Source organism: Homo sapiens, chromosome 21 (assembly GCF_000001405.40).
Source record: "Homo sapiens chromosome 21, GRCh38.p14 Primary Assembly".
NCBI classification, from domain to species: Eukaryota; Metazoa; Chordata; class Mammalia; order Primates; family Hominidae; genus Homo; species Homo sapiens.
The window spans coordinates 26,471,931-26,490,518 of record NC_000021.9 but is presented as its reverse complement, the minus strand read 5'-3'; the positions used below and the strand labels follow the sequence as shown (position 1 = coordinate 26,490,518).

The window sequence follows — 18,588 nt, the reverse complement described above, 5'->3', positions numbered from 1 at the left end:
TTTTGCTGAGTATGACCAAATTATTTCATTGTTGTCTTGTCATAGTCTTCTATGCCTGGAGATAGTTGACCTTCAAAATCTCTTTGTTTGCTATCTAGTACATGGCTCTAAAATCTTTAAAGTCAAGTATTATGTATCATCCAACTTTGTATCGTAGTACCCAGAATAGTGCTAGCACGTAGTGATGCTCAATATATATATATTTTTTTTAAATTTTTTGAGACAGGGTCTCACTCTGTCACCCAGGTTGGAGTGCAGTGAGGCTATCTTGGCTCACTGCAACCTCTGCCTCCCAGGTTTAAGCGATTCTCATGCCTCATCCTACCAAGTAGATGAGACTACAGGTGTGTGTCACACACCGGCTAATTTTTGTATTTTTCGTACAGGCAGGGTTTCACCATGTGGCCAGGCTTGTGTTGAACTCCTGGCTCAAGGGATCAGCACTCCTCAGCCTCCTAAAGTGCTGGGATTACAGGTGTGAGCCACTGCCCCCAGCCGCTCAATATATACTTAATGAGTGAAGTCGTGAATGTCGCTATCTAGTGGTAGTCAGTTAGAATTGTAGGCAAAATGACTGAGGGATAAATCAAACATCTAAGGTGTTTTGTTTTTCAAAAACGAGTTTGTTTCTCCCTCATGTAAAGGGAACAGGAGTTGATATAGCATCTCCATGTTGTTACTGGGGATACAATTATACCTGTTTCAGTACTACTGAGTCAATACTGCTTTTCCAAATATTGGTGTTAAACAGTTAAATGAATCACTTTCATGTACATAGCATTAAAATGTTCTAGAAACTTCTGTAACTATGATTTACTGCATTTAGATTTTGACATATAGTATGTTGTGTTGTGCAGTCTCAAAGCTGTACTGACAACTAACCAAATGATGACATTTGGTATCCACACAGTTAAATATATATCTTATATTATATATATTATACATACATAAAACAATATGTATGTGCATGTATATAAAACCTTACAGAAAACTGAAAAATCGTGTTTGATTTTTTTAATATGACCATTTTTGAATCATATGTATTCGACTCTCATTAAATCTATATTGGCACAAAATCATGTAAGAATTTGGCACTTGTTCAGATAATTCAGTCAGTGCAAATAAATGCTAACCAGGCAGTTCTTAAAGGGTACTTTTTGTTCATCAATCAAAGCATTTACCATTGAACTCTAGTGATAAAGTGTTATTCTGTAGATCACCCTACAATCTACAACATATTCAAGAGCACTTTTTATTCTCATTTTGTATACTACTTTGACATCGAAGTAATGTATAGATTTCTTAAAGATCTCTCACTGAGCCATAAAGTTTAATTCTACGTAAGATATGAGGAACAATCCCAATTAATGAAATTGAATGCAGTCTCTTGCTTTCCTGGTTCTGATATGCTTTTTTAGAACTTTTCTACAGGATCCCAGAGTACCTGTATGTTCCTTAAAACTGCCATTTCCACATTAAATATTTGCTTTTGTTTAAACTGTATAGCAATTTTGGCAAAGGAATTGTATTAGGTAAGATTAGGTTGGGTAGCATATCACACACACATACATTCACACTCAAACTAGAATAACAGAGACTTTAATAATTTTTTTTAAACTAGTTTGTTTCTCGTGCAAAGGAAATGGGAGTTGATACAGCATCTCCATGTTGTTATTAAGGATACAAACTCCATCAAACTCATACCTCTTCCATCCCTAGGATATGGCTCTTGTCTTCATGGTCCACCTTGGAGACTAGAGCTCAGCCATTACACTCCTATTTCAGAAAGCTGAAAGGAAGGTAAGACAGAAAATGGGAGAAAAATCCCATTCCAGCCATCTTTTAAGGAGGTTTCCTGAGAATTGACACAAAATATTTTATTACAACTTATTTTCCAAAACTCAACATGTAAAAAACAAAACAAAACAAAACACTAGCTTTAAGGCTACCTGGAAGATGTAGTACTCGCCAGGCATGGTGGCTCATGCCTGTAATCCCAGCACTTTGGGAGGCTGAGGCAGGCAGATTGCTTTACCTCAGGAGTTGGAGACCAGCCTGGCAACATAGCGAAATCCTGTCTCTACAAAAATTACAAAATTAGCTGGTAATGGTGACGTGTGCCCATAGTGCCAGCTACTAGGGAGGCTGAGGTGGGAGAATCACTTGAGCCCAGAGGTTGAGACTTCAGTGAGCCACTGCACTCCAGCCTGGGTGACGCAGTTAGACCTTGTCTGGAAGGAAGGAAGGAAGGAAGGAAGGAAGGAAGGAAGGAAGGAAGTAGGGGAAGATGTAGTCTTTATTTTAGTCAACCCTCAGACTTCTTTTATCAAGGAAAATGTAGAAAATGAATATTGGGTTACACAATTGTCTCTGTCATGGGGCTTGAGTCAATAAATCACGTAAATTTATTCATTCAAAGAGATATTAGTTTCCAGTTTTATTATCATGAGGCTAACAGAAAGAAGTTATCTATAAAGCCCCAAGAAAGAGGATATATTGAGTGAAGTTATTAAGGGGAGTCACCAGAATGAAAGAAAAAAAAAAAGCAAAATAAAAAAACATTATTAGCATATTTGGATTTTACAGATTTTTTTTTTTTTTTGCAAGTAATGTAGACTTACTGGAAAAATTACATGGATTGGTCTTCCTACCCTCCTAAGCATTTTACACTTGGAGTAGTAACAATATTTAATAACAATTTAACTATTCGATATTATGGTTTTCTTATCTGATACACGTATACATAGATGTACATGTAACCAGACTCATAGAGATAAAAATAGAAATAGAGATAGTTCTGAGATCCTACGATTAATATAAGTAAATACTGTTAATATTGAAAATGATACTCCATTGAGTTTGTTTTTCTATTATTTTCTGTATTTATTTAAGCAACAGAGAAGAAAATGCATTATTTTTAAGTTAAGCAAGTCAAAGTGTTACTAAAATTGCCAATGATTTATAATAAAACATTGTATTCAAGGGTATTACAGTATTTTAATGAATTGGCCAAAAGAATGAATTATTGAGGAAGTAGGATGATCTGATATAGAATTTTGCCAAGATTTATTCTCATGTATGTAGTCGACTTTCAGCGCTGTAGTAGGAATAGGATTTTTATCATTGCTTAATTCATCTCATGTGTATCATCACAAATAAATAAGTCGACTAAATATTACCTTCTTTAACAAAAGATAAAAATGCTTTAGCTTCACTTATAATTTTTTTATTTTAATAAGAAATAAACCTACTTTAAGTTTATTCTTTTGAAGCTATGGTTACTTTTTCCAGAGAACTCTCTCTTCTGATACTTTTACCTTTGACTTATTTCAAAGGTAAAGGTATTTTATTTCAAACTCTTATTTCCATATGGAAGTTTATCCTAACAAAAATATTCTAGAATTTTCCCCACTTTTTGTATAGGTGTAAAATATCCGTGTGGTATCAAATATAGATATCAAATATCCGCATGGCCTTTTTAATTTTTCTACTTTATTGGGACTGCTGTTACTAAATTATTACATAGAATATTCATAAGCCCTTTGATTTATAGTTTTATAAAATGCATTTGTAAATTGGGTCGTATCCGAGAAGAAGATAAATATTACTCTGGCGTACTTTTCATATCTGCTATTTTCCTTAAATATTATTTAATATTAATAGTAAAACCACATCAAGATAACTAGTAAGCTGCTGTATAGCAGTGCTAAGCCTAAAAGTGTTACTGCAACATGGCAACATTATCAGAATCTTTTTTTACTCATGAAAAGCGATTTATGGAATAAAATATATTATCTCTGAGCTTTGTTATAAAAGACAGTTTCATATTATTTCAGCCACCATAGATACATTTAATATCTTGATTATAAAATCTCATTTTGCAAAAAAAGAAAAAAAAATTAGCTAAATTAGAACCTAGAAACAGTCCTGCACAGGCCAACTGATTTTTGACAAAGGTGCAAAAGCAATGCGATGGGGGGATGAGGAATGCTTTTAATAAATGGTACTGAAGTAGCTGGCTATCCACAGGCAAAATAATCTGGTAATAATGAACCTCAACCTAAATCTAATACCTCGTACAGAAATTAAACAAAAATAGATCATAGGTTTAAATATCAAATGTAAAATAATCAGTCTTTTAGAAAGAAGCATAGGAGAAAGTCTTCAGGACCTAGGGCTTCATGAAAAGTTCCCACGTATGACCCCAAAGCACAATCCATAAAAGAAAAAAAATGATAGATTGGACTTTATTTAAAAACTTTTGTTCTGTGAACGACCCTGTTGGGAGAATGAAAAGATGTGCTACAGACCAGTAAAAATATTCGCAAACTACATATTTTGTAAAGGACTCAAATAATTCTCAAAAACTCAACAGTAAAATAACCAAGCAATCCAATTAGAATATGGGCAAAAGACTCAGGTGGACATTTCACTGAAGAAGATGAATGGCAAATAAGCTTTCGAAAACATGTTCAACCTTGCTAGCCATTACGGGAATGCAAATTAAGGCCATGATGAAATACCACTACACTTAATGCTTTATCCGTTAAAACAGCTAAAAAACAGATTATAAAACTAGATACTGGCAAGGACGCAGAGAGGATCTCTCATACCTTGCTGGTAGGAATGTAAATAACTTGGAAGTTTCTTTAAAACTCAAACATACATTTATCGTACATCCCAGTAATTGCACTTCTGGGCATTTATTGCAGAGAAATGAATACTTATGTCCACACAAAAATCTGTACATGATTGTTTATAGCAACTTTATTTGTCAAACCAAAATGCCCTACAATAAATAATGGTTAAACAAAGTGTGTTATAGCCATATCATGGACTGCTTGCTCATCTAGGAATGAACTACTGATACATGCAGAAACTGGAATGGATTCCAAAGGCATTACGCTGAGGGAAAAAAGACTATCTCCAAAACTCACATGCTGTATGATTCCATTTGTATAATCTTCTTGAAATGACTAAATTACAGAAACGGAGAACAGATTGCTGATACCCGGGGTTATTGATGGCAGAGAGAAGGCATGTTGGATATGACCATAAAGCAAAGTAATAGCGAAAGGGAAATATTTTGTGATGATGGAATAGTTTTGTATCTTGCTTGCTGTAGTGGTTATATGACTCTGTGCATGTGTTCAGATGACATGGAACTATAAATACACCTTATAGTAATGTCAATTTCCTGCTTTTCATGTTGTGCCATTGTTACTTAAGATGTAACCATCTGGGGAAACTGGGTGAAGGGTACGTGAGCTCTCTCTGTACTCTTTTTACACTTCCCGTGAATTTATAATTATTTTAAAATAAAAGTTTAAAAGGAGAGAGGAAAATGTGCAAACCTTGCAAGGCGTTGTTTTAAAAAAAATACATTCCCTGAAATTTTTTCAAGGTTTTAATGATGCCAGATTTTTCAAATTAATAGCTTCTCACTTTCCAACAGTTGACTGAGCCAATTATTTATATGCAGGAAAGTTACTATTTGTTTATTGTTTCTTTTTATTAATTACAAAGTAAATAATGCTGTAAATTTTATACTTGCCATGTCTTAAATAACTAATTTACGATTGCTAATGGGTATCAAAGGATCAAGGGCACCAACTTCATGATTTAATCAAAAAAACTAATTTAATACATTAGTTGCAACCTCATTATTGACCTCAAGAGCAGGCACTTTTGCTGGAGCTGCCAACAAGGAAACAAAATGTGACTAATTTTCTACTTTCCTCTATTTAAGAAAAGAATTAATGAATATAAATATGTCCCAATTCGATATCTTAACAGCTTCCATAACACATAGTTTGGAAACTCTATGCCTGAATAACTGGGCCATTGATTATTTCTGGAACATAAATTAAGTCCTCCAGTTTAATCTTATTTGGACCTGAAACTTACAATAAAGGAAGTTTCCAGATTACTTTTAATTTTCTCACTTCGAATTATCTCCTTTCATAGATCTTTTTTTCTTGAAAAGATTTATTTATTAAACTACTGGACTCTGCTATTATTTAATTACTAATAGCAACACATCCAAATATGTCTCACATTCTGCCTTCTTAATAACTAAGTAAAAATGCCTATAGAAGTATTTTAAAGGAGATTATTGATATTCTTAATGGCATTCTATTTTTGTATGTAGGTGGGGAAAAGTGTTAGAGAGAAAATATCCTCTGGAAAGTATAAATACAGCTTCACAATCCCTTATGTGCACTTTCAGTTTTCAGAGTTTTCTGTGGATTTCAGAATTGCAGATAAAGGTCAGTTGGTGGCCAGACTTGACCTGAACCAACCTTGGGCTTTTGTGTAGTCCCCATATAATCTAACAGCGTTAATATTCCCACCTTCGCTGTAGGAATATAAATGTTCTCAACATGCTGCCCTAGCTGCCCCTGGGAATATTTCACAATGCGTAGTGTATGTATTTTCTTTACAAAATCTGAAAATTTCTGACTATGAGACAGATCTGGCCCCAGTGGTTTGGGGTAAGAAATTATGGCCAGTCTCAGAAAAGTATAGGATAGGTGTTCAGGTACCACTGAGAATAAGGACCTATTTACCCAACAGATAAGTCCAGGAGCACAAGACTCATGACAAGAAATTTGGGAGGAGAGTCAAATGAGCACCAAACTGACCTTCCCTTTATAAATGAGGAAACTGAGGCACAGAGAGATTGAGCAACATGCCCAAGGTTCCACAGCTATAGTTGGTACCCAGGTGATCTGCCTTCAGAGATCATGCTTTTACACAACAAAGAATGGTTTGTGAAGACTTAAACCCGTAAGCCTCCAGAGTGAAACCCAAAAGACAGCCGACAAAGCGAAGCCAGAGACTGGGTGTCTGAGATGAAAGCGTAAGGATTTCATGAAAGTTCATATCCTTATGAGTACAATTCCAAGCTCCGGGATATTGGCAGTGAGGCTGATGCTCCCCAAGTATGAAATTGGAGAATGCTTTCATGGAGAAAAATGAATAGCCCCAAGGAAAAGATCTATGGTCTGATCTCAGTTTGTCCTGTTCTTTGGAGTTCACCTGTCAAATTCTGGCTTGCAAACTAAACTTCCAAGTAGCTACTTCAAGCTTTTTTTTTTTTTTTTGATAGGAGAGAATTCAAGGATCACCAGACATTTGAAGAAAACATCAAATATGAATGAGATCAAAATGAACAATCAATAAAAAAGAACCCAGACAGGACGAGGAAATACAAACAGTAGAGAAAGTATCAAAGAATATATCATTGGTGCTTTCAAAGATTAAGAGACTGCATCAATGGAAGAAACACAGACACTGGAAACAGGGAGGGGAGTGCAATAGAGGATGAGATAAAGCACCAGAAAATTAAAAATAAGATAACTGTAATTTAAAGTTTAGTACAACTTTGGAAGATAAAGTCAATGAAATTCTCCAGACAGTAGTTTTTTAAAAAGGATTTTAAAAAAGAGTTAGAGAATCGATCCAGAAAGTTCAAAAGCTTATTTCAGAATGAGTTTCCAGAAGGAAGAATACAGAAAATAGTGAAGAAAAAATTAACATTGTATGGAGAAGTTTCAACAACTGAAGGACGTGAGTCTCCGAACATAAAGAATCAAAAGGACCTGGAAAATATATATATTTTAAACCCAGGCACATTATGAAATTTTAGAATACCAAGAGTAAAAAGAAAATGCTAAGAACTTCCAGAAAGAAAGAAAAGAAAAAACGGTATCACACAAAGGAAAGTAATTATAATGCCATGGGAATTCTTTACAGCAGCTCCAAATTCTAGAAGACAATAAGCAATGCCCTCATATTTCTAAGAAATAATGTCTTGCAGTTTAGAATTTCATGCATAGATGAATTATCAATCACGTAAGAGTGAAGCATTAAGTCATTTTCAGGCATTCAAAGACTTGAAAAATCTACTTTCCTTTGAGTCGATTTTTAAGAAGCCATTCAGGAACGTGCTTCAACAAACAATGCAGTTCACCAAGAATTAGCAAGAATTGGGTCCAGAAACTAAATGTGAGGACCAGCAAACAGGGCTCAAGGGGAACAGTTCCAGGTTCGGAACAACCAGTAGTCTTAGTTGCTGTAAGAAGGAAATCATCAGGGGAGCAGAACAGAACTGATAAGCTATTTTACTATGTTTGAGTATGAAAAAGCTACTGATAATGTGGGAAAGATTTCTAGGAATTTTTGCAAGGAGCAGATATCAATATGTATATGGAAAAATAAAAATTCATGGAAATTGTTTAAAAATAGTAAGTTGTAAAATAAATGCGATAATAATTTGTAAAAGTTAACTATGGTACATTGCTTGGCTCAGCAGATAGCAAAGTTATGGCAATGTAAATACTGAAGACTGATTTAACCAAGGATAAATCTTGTCTGAGAGATCTGCATTCCCAAATAGTATAAGAGGAGGCAATAAATAATGTGTAAAAACAAAAAATATAAAATAATGTAATAATAATATTGAGAAATAGGAGAGAGGGTATTAGAAAAAATAACTGAAAGGGTTGAAGTGGTTGCTTTTGTGGAATATGCAAATGAGAAAGTGAATATTTTTATTTTTCACATTTACAAGATCATCACTGTAGATAATAAAAAACTTGATACATAGAAATGCAGTTTTACCTCATGGCAATTATTCTGTTATTACTGGTAGTATCCTGTTAATACTTGCTTTTCCATTCAATACTAATTACTATCAATACTAATTACTAGTATTCAATACTAGTAAGTATTGAAAATACTAATTAATTGAATTAGTATTCAATTAATACTAATTCATTCCCAGAGGAAAATGAAGCATTCTACCATAAAGACACATGCATGCAAATGTTCATTGCAGCACTGTTCACAATAGAAAAGACATGGAATCAACCTAAATGCCCATCAGTGACAGACTGGATAAAGAAAATGTAGTACATACACACCGTGGAATATTATGCAGCCATAAAAAAGAACAAGATCATGTCTTTTGCAGGCACATGGATGGTGCTGGAAGCTAACACTAATTAATTGAATGAATACAAATTACTATCAATAGTAATAGTATTACTATTAAGTTAACCATGTATCATAAACATTTCACTTCAATCCATGTGGATCTCTTGACCCTTTTTAATCAATATGTAAGATTCCTTTTCTGACGAATTTTTTTCTGTCAGTCCTCTTTTTATGGACATTAGGATGTTTCTCCTATTTTGCTATTAGCCACAACACTGTGATGAACATCCTTGTTATAGTATTTATGCTTATGTGCTACATTTCCTTAGGGAGCATTGCTAAAAATGATGCTTCTTGGTCAAAATTTATATTTTGATAAAGATTTCCCCATTGCTTTTCAAAATAACAGAAAAATGTAGTTACCTACAAATTATATTCCACACAAACAATCATAATGTTGACTCTTTTCTGCTATTCGGCTTTTTTTTCTATTTATGGTTTTGTTGCATGAGCTAAAACTTTCTGCGGGAAAGAAACCATTAACATTAGTAGAAATCGAAGTTTTATTTATGTTCTTCCTGAATTAATGGGATACTTATTTGTCATAACTGTTCTCTGGGTAGCTTAAAAATATGAAGTTTGGTTTGGTTTTCTTTTATTAAGAAACAAATATTCTTGTTCTATGAAGAGTGTTAATCAGGAATGAGTGTTAAATTTCACTTAATATTCTGACATCTACCAAGTTGTTTTCATTAAACACATACATGCTATGCCCAACAGATAAATTCTTTGCTGTTTAGATACACAGCAGAATGGTTTTTAAAATTATTACTTTGGAGAGCATATCTAGAGAATTGTGCTTTGTATCAAAACATGAATTTTAAGAACTGGAATCTGAATGATGAATTGGTCAACGGTGCTAGAAGAGGATTTTTATAACTTTTTCATATCTATTGAAATACAGACTATTTGCTTTATCAATTCAGGGAACTTATGGGTTTTAAAAAAAAAAAGAAAAGAAAAACACACACACATTATCCTTAAGAACATTTGTAAGAAAACACTTGTCCTATAATCATGGAGCTCTACTAGAAAGTCTAAAGAATGCTTACAAGTCTTTTGAGTAAACTTACTTGTTTTTCCTTTTAGGGGCACTGCAATTGCGGGCATTGTTTTTGGAATAGTATTTATCATGGGGGTCATTGCTGGGATTGCCATATGCATCTGCATGTGCATGAAGAACCACAGGGCGACCCGCGTGGGCATCCTCAGGACGACTCACATCAACACCGTCTCCTCCTATCCTGGTGAGCAAAACTGTTGACTCTCGAAGGCTCAGATTTGCTAGTTATCCTCTGCTCCTCACAGAGAGAAGGAAACATTCTAGATGGTCAATGAAACCACCTTCAATTTCATAGAGTATTTCTAGGTACATGTAGATTGAAGTTCTAGCTGAATCAAGATTGCTTAGATCCAAGTAATACAACCCAATTCTTTTTTTTTGAAGGTATTCATATTTTTAATGTCTGTTTCATTGACTACAATTGCCAGTCAGCCAGAATTAAGACAAATAAGCAATTCACACCCACTGTGTCTACCTGCTAGTGAGTACTGACAAGTAATTTATAAAGTATAATGTATGTCTCAATAAACTGGCATCTGATCCAATAGATATATATGTCTTGAGAAAAAGCATTCAAGAAAATTTTCATATATCTTCATTAGGTCGAGAGAACAGCTTTAAACACAATATTAAAATTCTCAACAGGCCAGGCACAGTGGCTCACGCCTGTAATCCCAACATTTTGGTAGGCCGAGGTGGGTGGATCACTTGAGGGCAAGGGTTCATGACTAGCCTGGCCAACTTGGAGAAACTCAGTCTCTACTAAAAATACAAAAGAAAAAAAAAATTTCAACAAAGAGCAAGGGCAATATATTAATAATTTGACAAATATTTATTGAGAATATGCTAGAAGTTCCATGTATTAAAATATATTGAGTACATGTGACTTCATAAACAAAATACTGCATTTTGCATTAGAGGATTTCAATAATGCTTTCTAAGTCAATCTGTGCATGTACAATTTGACATATAAAAAGCAGGCAAGTTCTAAATTTAACACACTCTTAGGAAGTTAATTTCCCATCCATACTCATGTCTTTTCTTTCTCTGTCTCTACAGGAAAAGAACAGGGTACCTTCTACATGCAACTGTGCTTTGTATTTGTATTAATTCCCTGTTCTGTCCTTCCTCTGTCAATCTTTTTTTTTTTTTTCCTCTATCATCTTCAACTTGAGGGAGCAAATTTCAGATCAATAAGGGTATGATAATTCCTCTTGTTCCTCTTTGGCCAGTTCTTCTTCTATAATATTTTCATACTGGAGTACCTGAAGGCTCAGTCTTGTCTTTTCTTCCATATTGTATCTACACTTACTTCTTTGCCTGTATTAAGAGTATTACAACCTCAGGGTGGTAAGTGCCATTTATATGCTAATGCCTCCCATGTATCTCCAGTCCAAACCAATTCATTTTATCCCAGTGCCTATTGAACATCTCCACTTGAGTGTCTCATAAATATCCCAAATTTGACATGTCTAAACTTGGATTTCTGATCCAAGTGTTGGATTTCCCCCAAAACCCCTGTCCACTCACAGCCTTTACCATTTCTCTTGATGGCATCTCTATCCTAGTTGCTCAGGCCAGAAACCATGCACTCTACCAGGAAAACTTCTTGGCTCTACCTTCAAAATATATACAGTATTTTGACTACTTCTCACAGTGAGAAGTAGATATTGTTACTCCCCTAGTAGGAGAACTTCATCAGCTCTCACTTCCTTTACTCTAATAACATCCTGGCTGGTCTCCCAGCATCCACCCTTTGCCCCCTGGGGTCTATTCTCAACCCAGTAGCCAGAGTGAACCTTTCAAAGTAGATGTCAGATCGTATTACTCCTGTGCTCAGAATCTTCCAGCGGTTCCCCATTTCCCGCAGAGGAGGCATTAAAGCGTGTGGTTCTTCATTTTATCCAAAGTAAAAGGCAGATTCTTTACTGAGGCCTTCAAGGTACTGCATGAGTTGGCTGTTCTTTTTATTTCCCAGGCCTCCTTTTTTTCTACTCTCTCCCTGGCCACTCTGTCTCCAGTCACATTTTTTTCCCTTGCTGTTCCATGAACTCACAAGGCCACACTTCCACCATAGGGCTTTGCCTAGAATACTGACTCCCTCACTTCATTTAAGTCTTTAATCAAAGGTCACCTCCTGAATGGAGTCTGCCCTGATTTAATACACCCTATTTAAGATTGTAATGTGTCCCTTCTGACAGCATCCCAATTCTCTTTGTGCTGCTCTGCTTTTTATCCAGAGTGCTTTTAATCTTCCAAGATATCGTATAGTTTAGCTAATCATTATGTTGATTGTTTATTGTTCATTTCCTCTTCCTAGAATATGAACTCCATGAGGCAGAGATCTTGGTCTATTTTGTTCAACACTCTATTCCAAGCATGTAAGACCAGGCCTGGTACATAATGGGCACTCAGCTGAATGAATGATGAACACAACTCATGAAAAGACCTGAATTAATCATATATCAATACCCTAGGGAATTGACTTTAAGTTTCACCCTGGAATGTACTCACTACAAAAGTAACATGCAATTTCAAATATTCCCAACTTGCAAGAATATTGGTAGGGTTACTGTAAAGATGTTGGAATATAAGGAAAAAAATAGATGGAATTATTTTTATTATTATTTATACCTCTGAATTTTTTCCCTTGGTCAAACCATAACCCAAGAGAAAAACAGAAGAAAGTCAAGCAAAGACATTAATTGTAGAGAAGGTATGAAGAATTGCTTTGCAGATAACGTTCTAGATACTCATTAGCTTGATCAAAAAAGTTTAATTGAAAATAATGTTTAAATATTTTTATAAAATGTTCAATATTTTATTTTATCCTTCTGTAAGTTCAAACTTTGAATAAAGTTAGAAAATACTAAATGTCACGATAGTAATGTAAGGTCACATGTTTTCTTGGGTTTGAAATTTCAATTAGCCGACGGAAATATGTTTTTAAAACTTTATATTAGCATCATTTATACTTTCAGGTCACAGGAATGTATTGCATTTTTATTAAATGCATTGTTCTCAGAACTGAATAATGGAAGAAACATAATGAACCTCATGCTGAAAACATTTTTACTGCAAAAAAGACTAGGTCTTCGAAAACATAATGTGCATGATTACTTCTCATTTCCTTCTCAAAGGCGCTAATTAAGATTTTACTTGAAGGTTTAGGAAGCAACACATAATACTATTGAATACTTTTCAAAATCTTTCATCTATGGAAACACAAAATGCTTTTACCCTCACTAATTAATTAACCCTATGATAATTGAGATAACAACCCAACTTATTGTATAGTCCTACAGCCCACAGATCAGATAAATGCAGAGAGCATAATTTAGCAAAGGTGAAAGTGTACAGTGGGGAGCCCTAGAGTGAACATTATTACTCTACACGAGGTGAAAACAGTGTCATTCAGCTGTCATACCTGACCCTATGTTGGACAGTGACCTTCCAAAAGTCTTTCATTCTTGCCATATTGGGTAGAATGAACAGACGTCCTCTTTAATTGCAATTATTTTTTAAATTGTCCACATGAAGGCAAGAATTTTCAAGTTTTACATTTCCACTACTTTTCAGAACTTCAGTGCTAACAAAGGAAAGTGATCATATTAACCCTTTTTTTTAAAAGCAGGTTTGGGATATACACATCTGAAAGAAAATAATATAGTAAAACTGTAACAAAAGGCTTGCCAAAGATATAAAAGTCAAATACTAACAAAAGGAAAGCAAGAGATTTCAGTGCCATCAAGAAAAATGAGATTTGACGTATATTATTGAGTCCTGTGAAATGATTTTTAGATAGATAGATAGATAATAGAAGATTAGATAGATAGATAGATAGATAGATAGATAGATAGATAGATAGATGATAGATAGGGTAGACAAACAATTGGAGAGGGGAATGGGGCTCTTCCTAACAGAAGAATGTCAAAGAATAAATGTAGAAGGGAGTTATAGAATTGAAAAGAATTGTTTTAAGACCATCATACAGAAAGAGTTAGCCAAAAATCATCAACCGATGCTAAATCTAGAGGAGAATGTGCTGAGAAGGATATTCGCAGGTCTTAAAAGTGTCCACCAGATTTCTTGTCAGTTATCAGGTGAAAAATAGTAACTTTACGGTTACTAAAGGACAGATAAAGATCATGGACCTTTGAGTGTGTTACTCTGAGGACAACACAGTTTCATGTATGTAGGTCCCACCTGGAAGATCACAGCCTAAATCTTAGCATGAGAAAATATCTGACAAACCCAAGTTGGGGAACATTCAATAAAACAACTGGCCTGTAGTCTTTCAAGTCTCTTGGAAATACTTCATTAAGAAATAAATACCCCATTTGCATCACTGAATTCACACATGACAGAAACCTTATTAGTATGTGCACTGACATGAGAAGACTTCTGAGTACTCATCAAACCTTTTTAGAGATCACAAGCTCATGTTCATACTAAAGAAAACTTCTGTGTTTGTACTGAATATTAAAAACAATCTTCATCAGATGTGTAACTTCTTTACACATCAAAAATTCATACTGGAAAGATTCTCTATAATAATATTGTGACTATGAAGATGCCTTCACCTTGAAGACACTGGAAGGAAACAAAATGGATACATTAATGTAGTCAAGTCTTCGCCCAGGCAGACGTTTTTAGTACAAATCAGAGAATTCAAACATGAACTGAGAAAACCTTCTTTGATGTCATATTAACTGTGGTTGCAGAATTAATGCTACAGACAAAATTTATGGGTATGATGAAGTAGAGCTAGCAAGTACAAAATTTTGCTATAAAATGGGTAGAGAAAACTGAGGTGGACATGAAGTCAAGAGGTTTTGTTGTTGTTGTTGTTTTTCTTATTGAGAAATCCAGATAGTAGTGCCTTGTATTTTGCTAGTACACTGATGGTAAACATAAAGGGGGAAACTGATGAATACAGAAGATAGAAGGGATTGTTGGAAATCAGTGTCCTTAAGTCTGAGGAAGAAAGGAATTTGGTACACAAGTATAGGGGCTAGCCTTTGATGGGATCAGAGACAATTCATTATGTACAGCACGATCAGAGACAATTTATTTATGTACAGCATATGTAAGGCAATAAGTACATAAACACAGTTTCAATGAGTTGTAGACTTGGTGGTCAAAGGATGTTCTTTTTTGCTCGTGCCAATTTTCTCAGTGAAATAAGAAGCAAGTCTTCTGCTGAGAGTGAAAAAAACTGAGGAGGTATTTGAGGTTAAGAAGAAAAAAAAGCATGAAACAGGAATCTCAGAAAATGAAGAGTGTGAAATGTCTAAAGAAATGTATGGCTTCTGAGCAAGGCCAAAGACCACAACACTTATGAAAATGGTCATTTACTCAAAGTGAAATCATTCAGCATCATTGTGCATTTTTCTTTAGTCACATTAAGCTCCTAGATATTGATCCAGGATAACCAAAGTGTTGGGTTTAATAAGGGTTGGGGTTCTGCCAGGCAATGGAGAAGGAGATAAGAATATTGACAATAGGTGCAAAAGAGTAATTTTAGTGATGGCCCATAAATCAGTGCTGAATAACAAAGGACACCATGACAGGAAAGAGGTGACATCAGTTTGAATTCCTTTAAAATGGCCATTAGTAAATTGGAAATCCAGGTGAGGTCCAAGATGCAGTGGAATGAGTATTCTAGAAAGATACTAAAGGGTGGTGGTCAGATTTATAATTAAGATTTACAAAATAGCACTATTATTGCCAACAACAAGGGTGAAGAGACTTTTGAAGGAAAAATAGTCAAGGGACTTGAGAGGCAGGGTTAGGTGGATGTTGAAATCACAAGAACGATAAGAGAAGTTGTGGAGGAAAGAGAGACCATGGGCCAGATGTTAAGTCTTCAGTGAAGGAAAGTTTGGGGTAGGACACACCACAGATATTGATAACAAGAAGGAGTAGAAAGTAGTATAAGATCACCCCAGCTACTACTGAGGCTAAGGCAGGAAGATCTCAAGTTTGATCCTGGCTTGGGCAAAATAGCAAGGCACCTACTCTGTTAAAAAAAAAAAAAAAAAAAAGGCACGGTGTATTCTTCTTTTTTCATGGCATATGTGCTAGAAAAGAACACATGGTAGGCTGGGCATGGTGGCTCACACCTGTAATCCCAGCACTTTGGGAGGCCGAGGTGGGAGGATCATGAGGTCAGAAGTTCGAGACCAGCCTGACCAACATGGTGAAACCCCGTCTCTACTAAAAATACAAAAATTAGCCAGGTATGGTGGCAGGCGCCTGTGGGCCTGTAGTCCCAGCTACTCAGGATGCTGAGGCAGGAGAATCACTTGCACCTGGGAGGTGGAGTTTACAGTGAGGCAAGATCGCGCCATTGCACTCCAGCCTGGGCAACAGAGCAAGACTCCATCTCAAAAAAAAAAAAAAAACGAAAACAAAAAACACACAACAACAAAAAAAACCAACATGGCATATATGCTACAAAAGGTTTTAAAGAGTAAGAATAGATAATAGCTTGAAAAGTGGCTATGAAGATTATGAACAGCCTGAGCACCTCCTGGCCCTATAGGTGGTAGGATGTGGAAGAAAAAGAATAGCTGTGCTTTGGTAGTGCTGCTGAGGAAGCCATGCTCTCCTGGAAAATCAGATTTTAATTAGAGTAAAAAGGTGATGTGAATGTCCCTTTCCACTTCCTGAGTTAACCATCTCATGCATTATTCTTTCATCTCAAAACTCAAAAATCCCCTCAGCCTTCTCACTCTCAGCAGGTGATTTCTCAACAGATCTCATTTCTTGAGAAAACAGACAGGGTCAGAGGAGAACTTTCATTCTGAAAGCAGGAGTTGCATGGTGGAGGCAGGGAAAGAGGGTGCGGTGACAGACTGTGTTCCACTGAGCACAGTGAAGGGGGTGGGGAACTTTTGGAAAATTAACAAATCGATGTGCAAAGCCTTCCAGAATTAAAGGTCTACAATAAGGAAACCTGTCTTTCTCATGGTGACAGAGGGATGTGAGGCTTGATGGAATTTGTCTTGATGCTATCTGAGTGGAAGGGGAACAATAGGTTATACTATATCTTTGCATGTTAGGCCATTGTAGAGGATAAATGGGCAGTATTGAGTTTATGTGGCTGGGGATGCGGGTAATGGAGGTCTTGCCAGGAGCTGTGTGGGCCTTTATTTAAACTCTCTGTTCTGGGTGGGGTTAAGGAAAATTGTGAGTAGTGGGGTTTGGGGGAGAGTAGATGAGAAGGTTTGCAATGAGCAATTGTCTTTAAATATAAGGCATGAGATTCATCAGTTCTACCAGGTATCAAAACTATTTAAAATCAGTAATAATTAAATTGAGGTATGTCTGGTACAAAAAGATACACCTTGGTCATTGGAATAGAACAGGTATATTAGAATTTTATATACTGTAAAGGAGACATAGCAAAAGAATATAAAAATTGAGGATTATTTAATAAGCCACATTTAGATAATTCGGCCTAACCAATATTTAAAACTTAGAAAAAATAAACTTTGATGCAAAAATATACCAAATAAAATAACACATGTAGCGAAGCATTAAATACATAAATTTAAATGGGTAAACTCAGAAACAGGATAGTTATGTATCAACTATCTGAAAAAGAAGACTAATTTTTAAACTTGGAAATAACACAGAAGGGATTTTTTAAATGAATAACTATATATTTTGTTATGGTTTTAAACTTCAGAATGTCAGTAAGGTAAAAATTATATAATAAACCATTTTGACAAAGAGTTTTTATTAAAAGATATATAATTTTGTGCACTTTTTTATATCTTACTTATATCTTCATTGAAATTAAGATCCTCATTTAGAAACTATCACCAGTCCAGAGCAACAACAAAAAATTCACTCAATATGAATAACAAACAGTGGACAAGATGTAAAACAGTGTCAAACCTAGCTGTTATCAAAAGAAATGATCAAGTAAAACAAAGACCTAAATTTTTACTTAATTTACTAAAATATTAAATGATAATGTACTTGTATACCCTTACAAGATGAAATAATTATTTTTGAAAGTAGTTTTATAATGTATTCTAAGCAATAAAATGTATGTGTTACTTAAGCCAGCTAATTAATTCCTGGAATTTTATTCTAAAAAAAAAATAATTAAAAAGTCTATGTGTAAGAAGATATTCATCATTACATTAATTATAATAAAAAATTAACCTCAAAATAGTGAATAGTGGATGGAATAACTGCTAAGGCAGCCATTAATAAAGCTTATGAAGAATATGCAGCAGAATGAAAAGACTTGCATTGTAATACAAAGTGAAAAAGTATAGGCCATACTCTGTGACTGCAAGGATGCAACTACGCACAAATGACTAAGAGACAGTATTTAAAGATATGATTTGTTAAATTGGGGTGACAAAATTATGGATGATTTTCTTCTGTTTCCAAATTTTCTGAAATAATTGTGAATAGTTTGGGTAACACCACGCATCTTCCCACCACATTAGCTTTAGAAATATTGGCCTGAGTGGGTAGAAAACATTACATTTCTTCTCCGA

At 35.0% G+C, this 18,588-nt stretch overlaps 1 protein-coding gene and 1 long non-coding RNA gene across 7 annotated transcripts in view; one reads left to right on the top strand and one right to left on the bottom strand.

Moving 5' to 3' along the window:
* The window catches only part of CYYR1-AS1 (CYYR1 antisense RNA 1), a 175,618-nt gene that overhangs the window by 78,734 nt on the left and 78,296 nt on the right, over positions 1-18,588 (bottom strand). The gene's annotated exons all lie outside the window — the stretch shown is intronic.
* Positions 1-18,588, top strand: part of CYYR1 (cysteine and tyrosine rich 1) — a 107,071-nt gene that overhangs the window by 82,768 nt on the left and 5,715 nt on the right. For 3 of the 5 annotated variants that reach the window (NR_135472.2, NM_052954.5, NM_001320768.2), the window contains one exon: positions 10,090-10,247. Coding sequence is in view for 4 of the 5 variants with exons in the window: in NM_052954.5 (NP_443186.3) it covers positions 10,090-10,247 (158 nt within the window). In the remaining variant the exon portion in view is untranslated. Of the gene's footprint in view, positions 1-7,111; positions 8,250-10,089; positions 10,248-12,383; positions 12,943-18,588 lie in introns of those variants that run through there. The other 2 variants (XM_011529450.3, XM_047440681.1) reach the window with 2 other exon arrangements.